At 36.8% G+C, this 21,975-nt stretch overlaps 1 protein-coding gene across 4 annotated transcripts in view, besides 1 other annotated feature; it reads left to right on the top strand.

Moving 5' to 3' along the window:
- SLC9B1 (solute carrier family 9 member B1) overlaps nt 1–21,975 on the top strand; it is a 134,657-nt gene that overhangs the window by 61,072 nt on the left and 51,610 nt on the right. For 2 of the 4 annotated variants that reach the window (NM_001100874.3, NM_139173.4), the window contains exons 4-6: nt 9,207–9,377; nt 11,845–11,987; nt 13,314–13,441. The exons of 1 other annotated variant lie outside the window; for it this stretch is intronic. In NM_001100874.3, coding sequence (NP_001094344.2) covers nt 9,207–9,377; nt 11,845–11,987; nt 13,314–13,441 — 442 coding nt within the window. The remainder of the gene's footprint in view (nt 1–9,206; nt 9,378–11,844; nt 11,988–13,313; nt 13,442–21,975) is intronic. One more of the 4 variants, NR_047513.2, reaches the window with a different exon arrangement.
- Nucleotides 20,042–20,691: an enhancer, noted in NCBI's record as "OCT4-NANOG hESC enhancer chr4:103859100-103859749 (GRCh37/hg19 assembly coordinates)". NCBI's record gives its function as "activates a minimal SCP1, AML or CMV promoter by ChIP-STARR-seq in naive and primed H9 embryonic stem cells {active_cell/tissue: H9 hESC(naive and primed)}" and the evidence as "EXISTENCE:reporter gene assay evidence [ECO:0000049][PMID:30033119]".

The following is a 21,975-nucleotide window of genomic DNA, read 5'->3' as shown; positions in this document are numbered from 1 at the left end:
GGCTTACTTTTTTAAGAGACAATGGCATGGTCATAGCTTATTGCAGCCTCAAACTCCTGGGCTCAATCAGTCCTCTCACCTTTGCCTGTCAAGTAGCTGGGACTACAGGCATGTGTCATCACACCTGGGTAATTTTGCTTAAATTTTTTAGAGACAGGTGTATTAGTCCATTCTTGCATTGCTTTCAAATACCTGAGACTCGATAATTTATAAGTGGTTTAATTGCCTCACAGTTCTTCAGGCTGTACAGGAAGCATGCAGGCATCTGCTTCTGGGAAGGCTTCAGGAAGCTTACAATCATGGCAGAAGGCAAAGACATGTCACATAGCGAAAGCAGGAGTAAAAGAGCAAGGGGCAGTGCCACACACTTTTAAATGACGAGATCTCACAAGAATTTACTCACTGTCCCAAGGACAGCACCAAGAGGATGGTACTAACCATTCAGGAGAAATCTGCCCCCATGATCCATTCACCTCCCAGCAGGACCTATCTCCAACATTGGGGATTACAATTCAACATGAGATTTGGGCAGGGACACATATCCAAACTATATCAACAGAGTTTCATTGTGTTACTTAGGCTAGTCTCAAACTCCTAGCCTCAAGCAATACTTCTATCTCAGCCTCCCAAGTACCTTTGGGGGTTATAATAATCAATCATCTTCACTTTTTACAATCTACTTTGGTTTAATAATTTTTACTTAATTCCAGTGTTATATAGCAACTTTGATCCAATGTACCTCTTATATGCTATGAACTCAGCAGTATTGTTATAGTTATTGCCTATAATAATCAGATGCTTTTTTTAAAAAAGAGATGAAATCAGAATACACACACACACACACACACACATATACACACATACACACATACAATCTTTTATACTTACAAATTTATTTACCACTTCCAGTGCCGTTTATTCCTTATAGGTTCAAGTTGCCATCTGGTGTCATATCCTTTTATCTTAAAAGCATTTTATTTAGTGTTTCTTTAGCAAGGATAAGTTCTCTTTATTTTTATTTATCTGGAAATGTCTTTATTTCAGCTCCATTTTTGAAGGATCATTTAACTGGATACCGAATTCTTAATTGACAGTTATTTTTCCCTCCACTTTTGAAATGTCGCTTCATAAGGCCTCCATTTTTTTCAGATAAAAATGCCAGTATTGATCATATTATTGTTCCCCTGTATGTGATAAGTCATCTCTTGCTATTTTCATGATTTTCTTATTATCCTTGGTTTTCACCAATTTGACTATGATGGCTCTAGGTGTGAATCTCTTTGTGTTTATCCTACTTGAGATTTGTTGAACTTCTTATATTTGAAGATTAATGTTTTTCATAACATTTTTGAAGTTTTCAGACATTATGTTTTCAAATATTTTTCTGCCCTCTTATCTCTCTCTTCTCCTGGAATTCCCATTATGCATATGTTAGTGCTCTTGATGGTATCCCATAAGTTTCTGAGGATCTGTTTATTATTCTTCGTTCTTTTTTCTTTTTGTTCTTCAGATTGATTAACCTCTATTGGTCTATCTTCAAGTTCACTGATACTTTCTTTCACAAGGTCAAATATGCTACTGAACCTCGCTAGTGATTTTTTCACTTTAACTGTTGTACTTTTCGATTCTAGATTCTATTTTTAAATATATTCTGTCTCCTTATTCATGTTCTCTATTAGACAGCACATTATCATATTTTTAATTTGAACATATTTATAATATATACTTTGAAAACTTTCTTTCTAAATCCAGTATCTGAATTGAGAGTTTCTATTCACTGCTTTTTTTCCAGAGTATGAACCATATTTTCCTGTTTCCTTACATGTCTGATAATTTTTAATTGAAAACTAAACACTTTAATTACACATTATAGCAAATCTGGATTTGGTTTTTATTTGTGATTGTTTTTGTTGTTGTTATTGTTTTGGTAATTGGCCTATACATGTGCTGTGTAATCCTTCTGCCCAGTGGTTTTCAGCAGTGATGTCTTTTATATTGTGTTGTTGTTGTTATTGTTGTTTTAGCCTGTCTTTCTAGGGATTTCCTTTGTGTCTGTTGCATAGCTTGATTTTGGAGAGACATTATGTTAAAGCTAGTAAGGCTTCCACTGTCTGCCAAATAATCTGTGGGTGGGTGGGTGAATGCATTCAAAGTTGCAATTAATACTCAAGTCTTACTTCATTTTTACTTTTTGTCATACTCTCTTGAGTCTTTCCTGCACTTCCATACTTTTCCAATCGGCCATATATGTGTGGAGAACTTATCACAAACTTTCTATTATTCTCTCCTTTCCAGGATCAGTCTTTTTTTTTTTTTTTTAGTAATACTCAGGTTTTTAATTTATTATAGTGAATGGATACAAAGCAAAATTAGCAAAGGGAAAAAGTTGTGTGTGGTAAAGTCTGGAGGATACCAGGCACAAACTTCCTGGAATCATCTCCTGTGGAGTTACAAGGATGTGTTTCTCTTCCCCAGCATGAAATTTTGACAGCACATGTGCAATGTCGTCTACCAGGACCAGAGTCTCATTAGAGACTCAGTACTCAGGATTTTACGGAGGTTACTGTCCTTCACATGTACCAGAATTCCAGACTCCCAGAAGAAAAGCAGCTGTTCAGAGTAAACCATATTGTTTGTATAAACAGTTTAGGCACCGTGAGCCACTCTTCTCAGTGAGAGAATTGGAACTTGGAACTGGAAAACTCTAGCCTTGCATGTGGGTCTTTCTCTCTCTTTCTTTCTTTCTTTCTTTCTTTCTTTCTTTCTTTCTTTCTTTCTTTCTTTCTTTCTCTCTCTCTTTCTTTCTTCCACTTTGTTTGTTGTTTCTCTCTCTCTCTTTCTTTCTTTTTTAATTTTACTTTGAGTTCCAGGATACATGTGCAGAACGTGCAGCTTTGTTACACAGGTATACATGTGCCATGGTGGTTTGCTGCACCTATTGACCCTCAGGATCTCTCATTTAAATTTTTGTCTTGTCTTCCACTTCCCCAATTGAAACTGCAACCTCAGACTAGCAAAGCTGCAATTCTGTCTGTTCATTCTCAAACCACTCTGCTATATTTAACTGGCAAAACCATTGATTTCTTCCCTCTACTCCATACCAAATCCACCCCTGCCCCCAGCCCTAACAGGAAAGCTGCTGGGTTTTACATCCAGCTTCAAACTGGTAAAACTACTGTTTTTCCCAGCTGAGCTTGGGGATGAGAAGAGAGATGAGAGTGTATTAGTCCGTTTTCATTCTGCTGATAAAGACATACCCAAGACTGGGAAGAAAAAGAGGTTTAATTGGACTTATAGTTCCAGATGGCTGGGGAGGCCTCAGAATCATGTCGGGAGGTGAAAGGCACTTCTTACATGGTGGCGGCAAGAGAAAATGAGGAAGATGCAAAAGCAGAAACCCCTGATAAAGCCATCAGATCTTGTGAGACTTATTCACTACCACGAGAACAGTATGGGGGGAACCACCCCCATGATTCAATTATCTCCCACAACACGTGGGAATTGTGGGAGTACAATTCAAGATGAGATTTGGATGGGGACACAAAGCCAAACCATATCAGGGAGCAACCCCAGTCAGGAAGGGCTCAGACTTTTACCAATCCTACCCAAAACCCTAACACTTTTTTCAAGGATAAATGCTTCTTAATTTGATAACTGCCTTTGATGAGTTTTCAGGGTCCTGAAATGTTTGTTTTTGGTATTTTTGCAATTTTTGGGGGGAGTTTTGGTGTGGAAATAAATTGCCAACCTTTTCATGTCACCTCCCAACCTTATCTTTATATCCTCTGATTAACAATTTTCATTAGTAATGTGTTACACAACCAGTACTTGTTTAGACTAACCTACATTTTACCAATTTCTTTGCACATTGTTCCTTCCTTTTTGGTTCTATGTCATATTTCTAAAGCATATCTTTCAGTAGATTTTTCCCTGGTAAAAAATGGCATATGTTCTTAAATGTATTTGTTTGACAATATCTTTCATTTGTCTTTTGTTTGAGTGACAGTTAACTGGCTACAGAATTCAACATTGAATGATTTCTTTATCTCTGTACTTTGAAGACTTTATTTATCTTCCATCTTCTATTGTTGCTGATAAGTACTGAGAATCTGCTCTATTGTTTATTCGATTATGATTAATCTCTTTTTCTCTGTCTAGATTCTTTAAGATTTTATTTTTGCCTGAGACACAACCAAAAAAGAGAATTTTAGACCAATATCCTTGATGAACATTGATGCAAAAATCCTCAATAAAATACTGGCAAACCGAATCCAGCAGCACATCAAAAAGCTTATCCACCATGATCAAGTGGGCTTCATCCCTGGGATGCAAGGCTGGTTCAATATACGCAAATCAATAAATGTAATCCAGCATATAAACAGAGCCAAAGACAAAAACCACATGATTATCTCAATAGATGCAGAAAAAGCCTTTGACAAAATTCAACAACCCTTCATGCTAAAAACTCTCAATAAATTAGGTATTGATGGGACGTATTTCAAAATAATAAGAGCTATCTATGACAAACCCACAGCCAATATCATACTGAATGGGCAAAAACTGGAAGCATTCCCTTTGAAAACCAGCACAAGACAGGGATGCCCTCTCTCACCGCTCCTATTCAACATAGTGTTGGAAGTTCTGGCCAGGGCAATCAGGCAGGAGAAGGAAATAAAGGGTATTCAATTAGGAAAAGAGGAAGTCAAATTGTCCCTGTTTGCAGACGACATGATTGTTTATCTAGAAAACCCCATCGTCTCAGCCCAAAATCTCCTTAAGCTGATAAGCAACTTCAGCAAAGTCTCAGGATACGAAATCAATGTACAAAAATCACAAGCATTCTTATACACCAACAACAGACAAACAGAGAGCCAAATCATGGGTGAACTCCCATTCACAATTGCTTCAAAGAGAATAAAATACCTAGGAATCCAACTTACAAGGGATGTGAAGGACCTCTTCAAGGAGAACTACAAACCACTGCTCAAGGAAATAAAAGAGGACACAAACAAATGGAAGAACATTCCATGCTCATGGGTAGGAAGAATCAATATCGTGAAAATGGCCATACTGCCCAAGGTAATTTACAGATTCAATGCCATCCCCATCAAGCTACCAATGACTTTCTTCACAGAATTGGAAAAAACTACTTTAAAGTTCATATGGAACCAAAAAAGAGCCCGCATTGCCAAGTCAATCCTAAGCCAAAAGAATAAAGCTGGAGGCATCACACTACCTGACTTCAAACTATACTACAAGGCTACAGTAACCAAAACAGCATGGTACTGGTACCAAAACAGAGATATAGATCAATGGAACAGAACAGAGCCCTCAGAAATAATGCCGCATATCTACAACTATCTGATCTTTGACAAACCTGAGAAAAACAAGCAATGGGGAAAGGATTCCCTATTTAATAAATGGTGCTGGGAAAACTGGCTAGCCATATGTAGAAAGCTGAAACTGGATCCCTTCCTTACACCTTATACAAAAATCAATTCAAGATGGATTAAAGATTTAAACGTTAAACCTAAAACCATAAAAACCCTAGAAGAAAACCTAGGCATTACCATTCAGGACATAGGCGTGGGCAAGGACTTCATGTCCAAAACACCAAAAGCAATGGCAACAAAAGACAAAATTGACAAATGGGATCTAATTAAACTAAAGAGCTTCTGCACAGCAAAAGAAACTACCATCAGAGTGAACAGGCAACCTACAACATGGGAGAAAATTTTCGCAACCTACTCATCTGACAAAGGACTAATATCCAGAATCTACAATGAACTCAAACAAATTTACAAGAAAAAAACAAACAACCCCATCAAAAAGTGGGCGAAGGACATGAACAGACACTTCTCAAAAGAAGACATTTATGCAGCCAAAAAAACACATGAAGAAATGCTCATCATCACTGGCCATCAGAGAAATGCAAATCAAAACCACTATGAGATATCATCTCACACCAGTTAGAATGGCGATCATTAAAAAGTCAGGAAACAACAGGTGCTGGAGAGGATGCGGAGAAATAGGAACACTTTTACACTGTTGGTGGGACTGTAAACTAGTTCAACCATTGTGGAAGTCAGTGTGGCGATTCCTCAGGGATCTAGAACTAGAAATACCATTTGACCCAGCCATCCCATTACTGGGTATATACCCAAATGAGTATAAATCATGCTGCTATAAAGACACATGCACACGTATGTTTATTGCGGCACTATTCACAATAGCAAAGACTTGGAACCAACCCAAATGTCCAACAATGATAGACTGGATTAAGAAAATGTGGCACATATACACCATGGAATACTATGCAGCCATAAAAAATGATGAGTTCATATCCTTTGTAGGGACATGGATGAAATTGGAAACCATCATTCTCAGTAAACTATCGCAAGAACAAAAAACCAAACACCGCATATTCTCACTCATAGGTGGGAATTGAACAATGAGATCACATGGACACAGGAAGGGGAATATCACACTCTGGGGACTGTGGTGGGGTCGGGGGAGGGGGGAGGGATAGCATTGGGAGATATACCTAATGCTAGATGACACATTAGTGGGTGCAGCGCACCAGCATGGCACATGTATACATATGTAACTAACCTGCACAATGTGCACATGTACCCTAAAACTTAGAGTATAATAAAAAAAAAAAAAAAAAAAAGATTTTATTTTTGCCTTTGGTAGTCTATAGTTTCTCAACATTTTATCTAAGTATCTATTTTTACTTAATCCTGATTAGAACTCATTTGACTTCCTGTGTCCAAATCAATAAAAACCCTAATCAATTCTGTAAAGTTTGAAGCCAGTTTTCTTCTCAAATATTATATCTTCTTCATTCTTTCAATTATGTTTCTGAAACTACTATTAGTTGTGTTTTAGATCTTTTCCATAATCTAAATCTCTCATTTTCCACCTCATTTTTTTGTGTGTGTGTGCTATGCTCTTAAGTAATTTCCTCATATCTACTACTTTGCTGTGTTCTCTCTTCAGCCATGTCTAGACTGCTGTTTGGGTACTTAGTGGTTTTTTTTTTAGTTGAGTAAATTTTACAGTTTTTTCTAGATGTTCTATTTAATTATTTTACAATGCTTTCAAGTAATTTCTTCTTCTCATGTCTCCAATTTTTAAAAATTGTCTCTAGTCCCTTTGAAAATACATATTTTATAGTGTCTATCTAGTGGTTCTATTAGCTAAGGTTTTCAGACATCTAATCCCATTCTTTGTAGTATCTGTTAACTTTTGCTCATGGGATATTTCTTCTTATTTTAAGTTCAGATTCACTTGGCTTTACCTTTGAGACTTTATGCAGTCTGGGATCAGGACTGTCTATTAGAGATTTTTTGAATTAGCATCTACTAAGTGTGTTCTAGGGATACTTCTATGCAGGGACACTTTTATGGTAGGTTTAGAACTTTGGGATCCCTAACCTGTGCACATAATGTAATTTGAGCCCTACACATAAGTTGGATGAGGCCAGTTTTACCTATGAATTCTCAAAAAAGACTTTGCCACCCAGAGACCAGCTAAGACAAACTGCCTTGTCTTCTCAATTTGTCAGTAGGATGACATTTTCTTGTCCGTGTTTTGTTTTGTTTTGTTTTCTGTTTTGTTTTGTTTTGTTTTCTTGAGATGGAGTTTTGCTCTTGTTACCTAGGCTGGAGTGAAGTGGCGCCATCCCAGCTCACTGCAATGTCTGCCTCCTGGGTTTAAGCAATTCTCCTACCTCAGCCTCCCAAGTAGCTGGGATTATAGGCATGCGCCAACAGGCCAGGCTAATTGTTTGTATTTTTAATAGAGACAGCGTTTCACCATGTTGGTCAGGCTCATTTTGAACTCCTGAGCTCAGGTGATCCACCTGCCTCAGCCTCCCAAAGTGCTGGGATTACAGGCATGAGCCACCATGCCCAGCCTGGTCCATTCTTTTAGTAAGAGTTTAGCCCTCCAAGGCTTCCAGTTTTGCAGGATGACAATAATCAGAGGGGAGGAGGAAAGAGATACTTTGTTCTAACTTTCTGCCTGGAGTGAGTCAAAATCGTCCTCTTTTACCCTGGCAAATTCTATACAGCCGGAAAGGGGTCATAGCTAAAAAATGCATATAAACTGTTTTAAGAATATTAAAAGCATTAGCAATTATGATTCATAGCAAATAAAGGTAGCAATTTAATTAGCATATGGAAATTTACCATGTTATTGTCTGTCCTTTATAGAAACCTATGGATTCCTCAGTGAGTAGCACCTAGTTGCCAGAAACAAGATGTCTAGTAACTTATACCTACTCATCTTATCTACCTCTACTTCCTACACATAATCTAAGATACTTTATATTTATTCCCACAAAATCTAGGTTCATTTCTTCCAGCCATTACCTCCTCTAATACATTTATGCCAAATATCAGTTGAATTATCCTTTCAATACAAAGATTTAGTAGGTTCCTCTTAAAAGATTTGGCACCTTGACACTGTGATCTTCAATAAGGTTGTGAATTCTTATCACAGCCAGTCATCCTCTTATTTTCCATCCTGATGAAAAAGCTATTTTAAAATATAAAATGAAGTAAATCTCATCATATTGCCATGATGTTTTTAACTATCATATATTATAATGGTTAGCATTTTCCAGAGTTCACATATAGGTTTTTTTTATTTTTTTATTTTTTTATTGAGACTGAGTCTCACTCTGTCACACAGGCTGGAATGCAGTGGCACAATCTTGGCTCACTGCAACCTCCACCTCCCGGGTTCAAGCAATTCTCCTGACCCAGCCTCCCATGTAGCTGGGATTACAGGCACGCACCACCACGCCTGGCTAATTTTTGTATTTTTAGTAGAGACGGGATTTCACTGTGTTGGCCAGGCTGGCCTCAAACTCCTGAACCTCATGTGATCCAGCCTGCCTCAGCCTCCCAAAGTGCTGGGATTAAGGTGTGAGCCACTGCACCTGGCCCACATATAGGTTTTAAATATTTTTAAAGTAAAAACACTTTGTTTGAAACCTACTTCATAAATTGACAGGTTATTTGGAATATATGTTAAGCAGATATCTCTTTCACCAAACTAGTAAGCAATGTTGATCTATACCATGTATCATTTTATAAAACTGGCTATTAGTATATATGATAAAAGAGAATTGATCCTTTGTTTGTATACATCTATGTGTATGTAGATATATAGCTGTACACTTTTTTGTATTTCAGGAGTTATACTGTTTGTGATATGGTGTATGACCTGGTCAATCTTAGGCTCTGAAGCTCTCCCTGGTGGAAATTTATTTGGGTTGTTCATTATTTTTTATAGTGCCATTATTGGGGGAAAAATTTTACAACTCATTAGAATACCTTTAGTGCCTCCACTTCCACCTCTTCTTGGTAAGTATATAATTAGCTCTCTTTTCTTTATTATTGACTATATGCAAATGTTGAACATTTTCTTGTTGAATTAGTTATAATTCAGAAATATTTCAATGTAGTATGTTTTATATAGTTTCTTCATGTATGTATTTACTGTATGTGTGTGTGTGTGTACAGCTCCTTTATAGATGCATTTATTTCTCTGTCTACATATATACACACAAGTTTTATCCAAAATTTATTTTTAAAATAAATTTAATATCCTTAGTACATTATTCCTGTTGCTTTATTGTTTAATAGAATCTTTAAAAATTTTAGATTCACGGGGTACATATGCAGGTTTGGTACATGGATATATTGCATAATGGTGACATTTGGGCTCTAGTGAACCCATCACCAAATAGTGAATACTATACCCAATAGGTAATTTTTCAACCTTAACCCTCCAACCCTCTCTCCTTTTGGACTCCCCAGTGTCTATTATTTCCATCTTTAGGTCCATATGTACCCATTGTTTAGTGCCCACATATAAGTGAGAACATGTGGTATTTGATTTTTCTGTTTCTGAGTTGTTTCACTTAGGATAATGGTGTTCAGCTTTATCCATGTTGCTGCAAAGGACATGATGTCATTCTTTTTTATGAATGCATAGCATTCCATGGTGTATATGTACCACATTTTCTTTATTTAGTCATTTAAGTTGATTCCATGTCCTTTTATTGTGAATAGTGCTACAATGAACATATGTGTGTATATGTATTTATGGAAGAATGATTCACATGTTGAACCATCCTTGTATTTCTGGAGTAAAATCCACTTAACTATATTATCTTTTTGATGTACTATTGAATTCATTTTGCTAGTTCAGAATTTTTGCATCTATGTTCATCAGGGATATTGACCAGTAGTGTGTGTGTGTGTGTGTGTGTGTGTGTGTGTGTGTGTGTGTATGGCTTTGCCTGATTCGGGTATAACTGTGATACTAGATTCATGGAATGTGTTAGGGAGGGAGTCCCTCCTTGATTTTTTTGGATTAAGTTTCAGTCACCTTTGACCCTGAACTAGAATAAGTGGATTGTACGATGAATAAATGAATGAATACAAATTATTGTAAAATAAAATTTTGTTAAGTATATGGTAACCATACAAATGCATGACAATAGACAATGTGATATGAAAACTCTCAGCCAGCCTACCATATTTGTGATTGTTTTTGAACTGCATAGTGGGAGGAGGTGCTCCTTACAATTTTCACTTTGTAAACATTTATTCTTTGATTTTAACCATCACCGCTATAACCACCATCACTCATGGATTCACCAAAAATTAAGTAAATAATTATCTTATTTGTTTTTATAAAACTTTCTAAAGTGTATGTAGAGCTCACATTTATTTCATTGTTTAATACTAGAAGTGTTTTGGATCTTTATTTAGAAGTTTGGTGATGTTTTGTGACCGGAAATATGCTGTAGGAAATTGACTGTTGTTTATATCATTTAGCCTATGCTAAAATTGGTTTTGTTATATACCATTTTACTCAAAGTTGCCATTTCCAATAACCTATTGATGATGTTAAGTGAGAACTTACTGTATTCAAATATATCTAAATATTCAGTACAGTGGGCCAGGCACGGTGGCTCATGCCCATAATCCCAGCACTTTGGGAGGCCAAGGCAGGAGGACCACCTGAGCCCAGGAGTTCAAAACCAGCCTGGGCAATATAGCAGACCTTGTCTTTACAAAATATTAAAAATTTTTCTGGGTCTCAGCTACTCAGGAGGCTAAGGCAAGAGGATCACTTGAGCTCAGGAGGTTAAGCCTACAGTGAGCCATGTTTGCATCACTGCACTCACCTTGGACAACAGAATGAGACCCTGTCCTCAAAAATAAATATATATTCAGTACACTGTCAGTAGAGATAATCTCTACATCTTATCTCTGCTGTCCCTTCTGTATCCACAATTTTCTTACAGCACCTTCTAAGTATTTATTGAATCATTTTCCTCCTCTCCAAACTTTCTCTTTTGCTCTAGCTTAGGCTATTTGTTTCCAACTTTTGCGTGGACTGTGGCAGAGCCTTCAATTTGGTCTCTGTCTCCAGTTTTATCCCAAACTAATTCACCAAGACCCTCACATAAAAAACGCAAGACTCATTATGTTACTTCCTGCCTAAAACCTTCCCATGGTGCCTTACTTTGCCAAAGTGGGGGGAGACCTTTCTATGATCTGGCCCACCCAAGCTCATTCTCCTCCCTCCTTTCCTTGCCCTGTATGTTCCAGCAACACTAACTTACTTGTTGAACCCCATTTAGGTGTATTGTTTCTTATCGCCATTCCTTTATTCATGCTGCCTTCTCTACTTGCTTGTAACCTGCCCTTTACCAAAATAATGAGAGACATAGTGCATTAGAAAAGAAAGTAAACATTTCCGTTTTCTTTCTCAGAAAAATGAACTGTCATGTATCTTTATTTTCTTTCTTTTAAGGGATGTTACTGGCTGGTTTTACGATTAGGAATGTTCCATTCATCAATGAACATGTCCATGTTCCTAACACATGGTCTTCAATTTTAAGAAGCATTGCCCTTACCATTATTCTAATAAGAGCTGGGCTTGGACTCGATCCACAGGTAGATTTACAATTACAAATCGAGTAAGGTTATTTCAAATATTAGAGGACGGTGAGAAAGAAAAAGAAGCAAAAATTTTATTTTCCTGTTCCAAATAGAGTCTGTAAACAAACCTAAGATAAAGAAAAAAAGGCCGGGCATGGCGGCTCATGCCTGTAATCTACAAAAATTAGCCGGGCTGGTGGCATTTACCTAGTAATCCCAGCTACTCGGGAGGCTGAGGCAAGAGAATTGCTTGAACCTGAGAGACGGAGGTTGCAGTGAGCTGAGATAGTGCCACTGCACTCCAGCCTGGGGGACAGAGCGAGACTCCGTCTCAAAAAACAAAACAAAACAAACAAACAGAAGAAAAAAACAGAAGAAAAAAAGACTGTATAGAAATATTGGCACCCTAATTTCTATGTCTAGCCATCATTATCACTGATATGAAGAGAATTGACTGTGTTGTAAGGTCTTTATTAGCGATCTAATCATTTGCACAGAGATAAATGTCTCTTATATAGCACCTATATTATTTGGGAGGCTCTTCTATGGAGAAGTATGTACTTTTCAGTTAACATAGGATAAGAAAAACCTTATAAAAGTCTTTTTCTTTTTTTAGGGAGATTAAGGATTTCAGTAATTTTTTTATGACATTTTCTCCACAGGATTATGTTCCTGATTATCTTTGCATTATTGTAAAATCCAATCTTTTAAAGCATTTCTTAAAATATTACATTCTAGGGATCATAAATCCCATCTATAAGAAGATGACTATTCATGAATATGACAGCCACTCAAATAAATGTGGCAAATGTGGTTTAATAGAAATAGCTCAAGAGCATAAATAATTATAGCCAATAAGATTATATTCTCCAGCAGAAAGTATGAACCAAGGAGAACATTGAAAAGTTCTCCCTTTTAAAATGAATTATGCAGTTTTTAAGTTATTTTCTTTGGCATGTTGGTATTCTATTTATACTTATTAAGTTAATCAAACAGTTCATATCAAAAAGTTAATGGGAAAACACTAATAGGACACTATTATTATACTATTTATTAGGAAAGTTCAGGAAGGTAGCATTAGCTATTTAATCACAGTAAAATTGATCTTTTAATAATTAAAATATAATAATATTTTTAAAAAGATGAAATTGTTTATAATCCAACCTATGATGACATATAAAATGTAATAGAGTTCAAAGTCCAGTGGGACAATCTGTTGAAATGAGATTTCGTTTAGTGAAAGCTTCTTATGAAAAAAGACTTTATAGTTTGACATTTGTTAAAATAATTTTCTTGTTGGCCATTGTAAATGTATCTAAGTGTGACTGTTTTGTGTTTCAGGCTTTGAGGCATTTGAAGGTCGTTTGTTTCAGATTGGCTGTAGGTCCATGCCTTATGGAGGCAAGTGCAGCTGCTGTTTTTTCACACTTCATTATGAAATTTCCCTGGCAATGGGCATTTCTATTAGGGTAATTTCTTTCTCATTTTTTCTTATGAAAATATTCAATTAAGGATGCTTCATTAAAACTGTTAAAATATTCAGAATGTTGTATAGAAAAGCTCTATTAAAATTCGTTTCAGTGTTAAAATCCTTGGAAAGCAGTTGATTAAAAGCAGAGCCATGTCCCAAATTGTACGAAATTTTTTTAACAAACATTCATAGCCCCTAAATGTTTATCATCAAGAAAATTCACATGATCAATTTATTCCTTTTCATCTGTATTATAACATATCTGTATGTTTTAATCTATCTAATGGCCTCTTCCTCATAGCTGTATGTAAGTACAGTTGCACATTTCATATATATGTATGTGTATATATATAAGTATATTTGAGAAACATTTTATATAGACATAGGTGTATAAATATAAACTCTCCCATTTTAAAGAAAGCAAGCAAACAAAAACTCTTGCCGTATATCCAATGCCCCATCCATCTTTATCTACCATCCATTTGTCTTATGTTTGAATTCCTCAAAATAAGTCTGTAACTACTGTCTCTAGATCCTAACTCCTTTTCATTTCTTAATTCATCAACTTTTGTCTCTGCTTATCCATTCCAATGACACTCATAGCAAAGTTCATCCATTACATAGTTACTACAAAATCCAGTGAATTCTTAAATTAATGTTTATGATAAAATACTCAAATGCACTTTTATTTTAAAAATTAGAACTTTATAAATAAAGGAGGAATGACCTTAGAATATGCCTTCAAATCATAATGCCCATAACTCTACCCAAAGTGACAACTCTTACGAGTTTTTTTCTTCTCCAATTTTTATTTCGGCTCAAGGGGTACATGAGCAGGCTTGTTATATGGATAAATTGCATGTCACAGGGGTTTGGTATGCAGATTATTTTGTCACCCAGGTAATAAGTATAATACCCAATAGGTAGTTTTTCTATTCTCCCCCTCCTTCCACCCTCCACCCTCAAATTCACCTAGTGACGATTGTTCCCTTCTTTCTGTCCATGTGTACTCAGTGTTTAGCTCCCACTTATAAGTAAGAATATGGGATATTTGGTTTCCTGTTCCTGTGTTAATTCACTTAGGATAATGGCCTCAACTCCATCCACGTTGCTCCAAAGGACATGATCTCGTTCTTTCTTGTGGCTGTGTATTATTCTATGGTGTATATGTGCCACATTTTCTTGGTCCGCAGTCTGATGCTCTAACCCTGAGATATACCCCCTCCTATGTGCCACATTTTCTTTATCCAGTTCACCATTGATGGGCATTTAGGTTGATCTCATGTCTTTTTTCTTTTTTCATTAGTTTTTAAGGAACAGGTGGTGTTTGTTTACATGGAAAATATTTTTAGTGGTAATTTCTGAGATTTTGGTGCACCCATCACCAGAGCAGTGTACACTGCACCCAAGGTGTAGTCTTTTATCGCTCACCCTCCTCCTACTCTTCCCCCTAAGTCCCCAAAGCCCATTGTATCATTCTTACGCTTTTGCATCCTCATAGCATAACTCCCACTTATAAGTCAGAACATACAATGTTTGGTTTTTTCATTCCTGAATTACTTCACTTAGAATAATGGTCTCCGACTCCTTCCAGGTTGCTGTGAATGCCATTATTTCATTCCTTTTTATGGCTGAGTAGTATTCTGTCGATGGTGTGTGTGTGTGTGTGTGTGTGTGTGTGTGTATACATACACATATATACACATAGATACGTATATATACACCACATTTTCTGTATGCATTCATTGATTGATGGGCATTTGAGCTAGTTCCGTATTTTTTGCAATTGCAAATTGTGCTGCAATAAACATGCGTGTGCAAGTGTTTTTTTCATATAATGACTTCTTTTCCTCTGGGTAGATACCCAGTATTGGGATTGCTAGATCAAATGGTAGATCTACTTTTAATTATTTAAGAAATCTTCATACTCTTTTCCATAGTGGTTGTACTAGTTTACATTCCCCCCAGCAGTGTGAAAGTGTTCCTTTTTACTACACCCATGGCAACATCTATTTTTTTTTTTTATTTTTTTGATTATGGCTATTCTTGGAGGAGTGAGATGGTATTGCATTGTGGTTTTGTTTGCATTTCCCTAATAATTAGTGATATTGAGGATTTTTTCATGTTTCTTGGCCATTTATATATCTTCTTTTGGGAAGTGTCTATTCATGTCCTTAGCACACTTTTTGATAGGATAATTTGGTTTTTTCTTGCTGATTTGTTAGAGTTCCTTATAGATTCTGGATATTAGTACTTTGTTGGATGCATAGTTTGTAAACATTTTCTCCCACTCTATAGGTTGTCTTTTTACTCTGCTGATTATTTCTTTTGCTGTGTAGAAGCTTCTTAGTTTAATTAAGTCCCATCTATTTATCTTTGTTTTTGTTGCCTTTGCTCTTGGGTTCTTGGTCATGAAGTCTTTGCCTAAGCAAATGTCTAGAAGGGTATTTCCAATGTTACCTTCTAGAATTTTTATAGTTTCAGGTGTTAGATTTAAGTCTTTGATCCATCTTGAGTTGATTTTTGTATAAGGTGAGAGATGAGGATCCAGTTTCATTCTTCTACATATGGCTTGCCAATTATCCCAGCACCATTTGTTGAATAGGGTGTCCTTTCCCAACTTTATGTTTTTGTTTCCTTTGTTAAAGATCAGTTGGCTTAAGTATTTGGCTTTATTTCTCAGTTCTCTATTCTGTTCCATTGGTCTATGTGCCTATTTTTATACCAGTGTTATGCTGCTTTGGTGACTATAGCCTTATAGTATAGTTTGAAGTCAAGTAATGTGATGCATCCACATTTGTTCTTTTTGCTTAGTCTTGCTTTGGTTATGCGGGCTATTTTTGGGCTCCACATTAATTTTAGGATTGCTTTTTCTAGTTCAGGGAAGAATGATGATGTAGATTGTTTTTGGCAGTATGGTCATTTTCACAATATTGATTCTACCTATCCATGAGCGTGTGATGTGTTTCTATTTGTTTGTGTCATCTATGATTTCTTTCTGCAGTGTTTTGTAGTTTTCACTGTAGAAGTCTTTCACCTCCTTGGTTAGGTATATTCCTAAGTTCGTTTGCTTGGGGTTTTTTCTTTGGTTTTGTTTGTTTGTTTGTTGTTTGTTTGTTTGTTTTTGCAGCTGTTGTAAAAGGGGTTGAGATCTTGACTTAATTCTCAGCTCAGTCACCATCGGTGTATACCAGTGCTACTGATTTGTGTACATTGATTTTGTATCCTGAAACGTTACTGAATTCATTTATCAGATCTAGGAGCTTTTTGGATGAGTCTTTAGGGTTTTCTCATTATATGATCATATAATCATGAATAGCAACAGTTTGACTTCCTCTTTACTGATTTGGATGCCCTTTATTTCTTTCTCTTGTCTGATTGCTCTGGCTAGGACTTCCAGTACTATGTTGAATAGAAGTGGTGAAACTGGGCATCCTTGTCTTGTTCCAGTTCTCGGGGGAATGCTTTCAACTTTTCCCCATTCAGTATAATGCTGGCTGTGGGTTTTTCTTTCTCTCTCTCTCTCGGGTTTTTTTTTTTTTTTTTTTTTTGAGACGGAGTCTTGCTCTGTTGCCCAGGCTAGAGTACAATGGCCCAATCTCAGCTCACTGCAACCTCTGCCTCCCAGGTTCAAGCAATTCTCATGCCTCAGCCTTCCAAAGACCTGGGAGTAGCTCCCCAAGCTCGCCAGCATCTGTTACTTTTTGACTTTTTGATAATAGCCATTCTGCCTCCTGTGAGGTTGTATCTCACTGCAGTTTTGTTTTGCATTTCTCTAATGTTAGTGATGTTGAATATTTTTCCATATACTTGTTGACTACGTGTTTGTCTTCTTTTGAGAAGTGTCTGGTCCTCTCCTTTGCCCATTTAATGGGGTTGTTAGGTTTTTGCTTGTTGATTTTTCTAAGTTCTTTTTGGATTCTGGATATTAGACTTTTGTCGAATGCATGGTTTGCAAATATTTTCTCCCATTCCATAGGTGGTTTGTTGATGATTTCCTTTGCTGTGCAGAAGCCCTTTAGTTTAATTAGATCCCATTTGTCAATTTTTGTTTTTGTTGCAATTGTTTTTGGCGTCTTCATCATAAAGTGTTTTCCAGAATTGAAATTTCCTAGGATATGTCCAGAATGGCCTGTGTCCAGAATGGTATTTCTTAGGATATCTTCCAGGGTTTTTATAGTTTTGGGTTTTACATTTAAGTCTTTAATCTATCTTGAGGTGATTTTTGTAAACGGTGAAACGTATGGAGTCCAGTTTCAGTTTTCTGCATATGGCTAGCCAGTTATCCCAGCACAATTTCCGAGTAGGGATTCCTTTCCCCATTGCTTGTTTTTGTCAAGTTTGTTGAAGAGTAGATGGCTATAGGTGTGCGGCTTTATTTCTGCGTTCTGTAACCTGTTCCACTGGTCTATGTCTGTTTTTGAGTTCCTTATAGATTCTGGATATTAGTACTTTGTTGGATGCATAGTTTGTAAAGATTTTCTCCCACTCTATAGGTTGTCTTTTTACTCTGCTGATTATTTCTTTTGCTGAGCATAACCATGCTGTTTTGCTTACTGTAGCATTGTACTACCGTTCGAAGTCAGGTAGTGTGATGCTTTTGGCTTTGTTCTTTTTGCTTAGGATTGCTTTGGCTATTTGGGCTTTTTTTGTTTGTTTGTTTTTTTGGCTCCAAATGAATTTTAGGATGCTTTTTTTAATCCTGTGAAAAATGTCATTGATAGTATGATAGGAATAGCATTGACTCTGTAAATAGCCTTAGGCAGTATGGCCATTTTAACAATATTGCTTCTTCCTATCTGTGATCATGGAATGTTTTCCTTTTGTTTCTGTTGTCTCTGATTCTTTGAGCACTCGTTTGTAATTTTCATTGTAGAGATATTTCACCTCCCTGCTTAGCTGTATTCCAAGGTATTTTATAGTTTTTTTGTGGCTATTGTGAATGGGATTGCATTCTTGATTTGGCTTTCAGCTTGGATGTTGTTGGTGTATAGAAATGCTACAGATTTTTGTACATTGAGTTTTGTAACCTGAAACTTTGCTGAAGTCATTTGTCAGATCTGGGAGCTCTTGAGAGGCTACTATGGGGTTTTCTTGGTATAAAAGTGTTTCACCTATGAAGAGGCATAGTTTGGCTTCCATTCTTCCTATTTAGATGTCTGTGTTTCTTTCTCTTGCCTAATTGCACTGGCTAGGACATCCATTACTATGTTGAATAGGAGTAGTGAGAGTGGGCATCCTTGTCTTGTTCCAGTTCTCAAAGGGAGTATTCCAGCTTTTTCCCATTCAGTATGAAGTTGGCTGTGGTTTTGTCATAAATGGCTCCAATTATTTTGAGGTATGCTCCTTCAGTAACTCATTTGTTGAGGGTCTATATCATGAAGGGATGTTTTTATTTTTAGTTCTATTATATGATGAATCACATTTATTGGTTTGTATATCTTGAACCAAACTTGCATCCCAGGGATAAAGCTTACTTAATCATAGTGGACTAGCTTTTTGATATGCTGCTGGATTCAGTTGGCTTGTATTTTGTTGAGGATTTTTGCATCTATGATCATCAGTGATAACTGTCCTGAAGTTTTCTTTTTTGTTGTGTCTCTGCCAGGTTTTCATATCTGAATGATGCTGGCCTCATAAAATGAGTTAGGGAGGGATCCTTCCTCCTCATTTTTTTGGAATAATTTCAGTAGCATTGGTACCAGCTCTTCTTTACACTTCTGGTAGAATTTGTCTGTGAATCTGTTGGGTCCTGGGCTTGCTTTTTTTTTTTTTTTTTTTTTTGGCTCAGAGACTTTTTATTACTCATTCAGTTTCAGAACTCATTTTTGATTTGTTCAGGATTTCAGTTTCTTCCTAGTTCAATCTTGGGAAGTTGTATGTTTCCAGAAATTTACCAATTTCTCATAGGTGTTCTACTTTGTTTGCATGAAGATGTTCATCGTAGTCTCTGAGAGTTTTTTGTATTTCTGTGTGGTTGGCGGTAACGTCCACTTTGCCATTTCTGATTGTGTTTTTTGGATCTTCTCTCTCTCTTTTTTTTTTTTCCTTATTGGTCTAGCTAGTGACCTATCCAATTTATTTATTCTCTCGAAGAACCAGCTTTTAGTTTCATTTATCTTTTGTATGGCTTTTCATGACTCAATTTCATTCCATTCTGCTCTGATTTTGGTTATTTCTTTTCTTCTGCTAGCTTTGGGATGGTTTCCTCTCGTTTTTCTGTTTCCTTTAGGTATGATATTAGGTTGTTAATTTAAGATCCTTCTAACTTTTCAATATGGGCATTTAGCACTATAAACTTTTCCCTTAACACTGCTTTGCCTGTGTCTTAGAGAGCCGAGAATGTTGTATCTTTGTTTTAATTAGTTATAAAGAATTTATTGGTTTCTGCCTTAATTTCATTGTTTACCCAAAAGTCATTCAGGCACAGGTTGTTTAATTTCCATGTAATTGTATGGTTTTGAGAGTTCGTCTTAGTGTTGACTTCTATTTTTATTACACTGCGGGTCCAAGAGTGTGGTTGGCCTGATTTCAGGGGTTTTCTTAAATTTATTGAAAATAATTTTAGACTGATAGTGTGATCAATTTTACAATATATGCCATGTACAGATGAGAGGAACATATATTCTGTTGTTGTTGGGTGGAGTGTTCTGTAGATGGCTGTTAGGTCCATTTAGCCAAGTGTTGACTTCAAGTCCTGAATATCTTTGTTCATTTTCTGTCTCTTTGATCTGTCTAGTACTGTCAGTGAGATGTTGAAGTCTCCCACTATTATTCTGTGGTTATCTAAGTTTCTCTATAGGTCTCTATGAACTTGTTTTATGAATCTGAATGCTCCAGTTTTGAGCACATTTATCTTTTAGACAGTTAAGTCTTCTTGTTGAATTGAACCCTTTATCATTACGTAGTGCCCTTCTTTGTCTTTTTGATTGTTGTTGGTTTAAAGTCTATTTTGTCTGAATTAGGATAACAATGCTTACCCTTTTTTGTTTTGCATTTGCTTGCTAGATTTTTTTCCATCCTTTTACTTTGAGCCAATGGGTATCGTTGCATATGAGCTGGGTCTCTTGACAGCAGATACAGTTGGGCTTTGCTTCTTTATCCAACTTGCCATTCTGTGAGTTTTAAGTGGGGCGTTTATACTGTTTACATTCACAGTTAATATTGATATTTATAGCTTTGGTCCTGTCATTATGTTGTTAGCTGGTTATTATGCAGACTTGATTGTGTAGTTACTTTACAATGTCAATGTTCTATGTACTTAAACGTATTTTTGTGGTGGCCATTAACAGTCCTTCACTTCCACACTTAGCACTCCTTTAAGGACCTCTTGTAAGGCATGTCTGGTGGTAACAGATTCCCTTAGCATTTGTTTGTCTGAAAAGGATCTTACTTCTCCTTCAATATGAAGTTTAGTTTGGCTGGATATTAAGTTCTTGGTTGAATTTTTTTTTTTTTTTTTTTTTTGGCGACAGAGTGTTGCTCTGTCGCCAGGCTGGAGTGCAGTGGTGCTATCTCAGCTCACTGCAACCTCCACCTCCTGGGTTAAGTGATTCTCCTGCCTCAGCCTCCCGAGTAGCTGGGACTACAGACACGCATCACCATGCCCAGCTAATTTTTGTATTTTTAGTAGAGATGGGGTTTCACCGTGTTGGCCAGGATGGTCTTGATCTCTTGACCTTGTGATCCACCCCCCTCAGCCTCCCAAAGTGCTGGGATTACAGGCATGAGCCACCACACCCAGCCAAGTTTTTTTTTTTTTTTTTTTTTTTTTTTTTAAGAATGCTGAAGGCCAGGCATGGTGGCTCATACCTGTAATCCCAGCACTTTGAGAGGCCGAGGTGGGCAGATCACGAGGTTGGGAATTTGAGACCACCCTGGCCAATATGGTGAAATCCCGTCTCTACTAAAATTACAAAAAATTGCCAGGTGTTGTGGTGCGCACCTGTAGTCCCAGCTACTTGGGAGGCTGAGGCAGAAGAATCGCTTGAACCCGGGAAGTGGAGGTTGCAGTGAGCCAAGATAGCACCAGTCCACTCTAGCCTGGGCAACAGAGTGAGACTCCATCTCAAAAACAAAAAGAAAGAATGCTGAATATAGGCCCCCAATTTCTTTTGGATTGTAGAGTATCTTACAGTTCCACTGTTAGCCTGATGGGATTCCCTTTGTAGGTGACCTGCCCCTTCACTTTAGCTGCCTTTCATGTTTTTTTCTTTCATGTTGACCTTGGAGAATCTGATGACTTGGGGATGTCTTGGGGATGGTCATCTTATGTAGTATCTCACAGGGGTTCTCTGCATTTCCTGGATTTAAATGGTGACTTCTCTAGCAAGATTTGGGAAATTTTTGTGGGCAGTATCCTCAAATATGTTTTCCAACTTGCTTATTCTTTCTCCCTTTCTTTGAGTGATGCCTTGAGTCATATGTTTGGTCTCTTTACATAATCTCAGATTTCTCAGAGGTTTTGTTCATTCTTTCTTGTTCTTTATTTTCATCTGACTGAGTTAATTCAAAGAAGTGGTCTTTGAGATC

This window comes from Homo sapiens, chromosome 4, assembly GCF_000001405.40.
Source record: "Homo sapiens chromosome 4, GRCh38.p14 Primary Assembly".
NCBI classification, from domain to species: domain Eukaryota; kingdom Metazoa; phylum Chordata; class Mammalia; order Primates; family Hominidae; genus Homo; species Homo sapiens.
The sequence above is the reverse complement of the archived record's forward strand: the minus strand, read 5'-3'. Positions and strand labels throughout refer to the sequence as shown.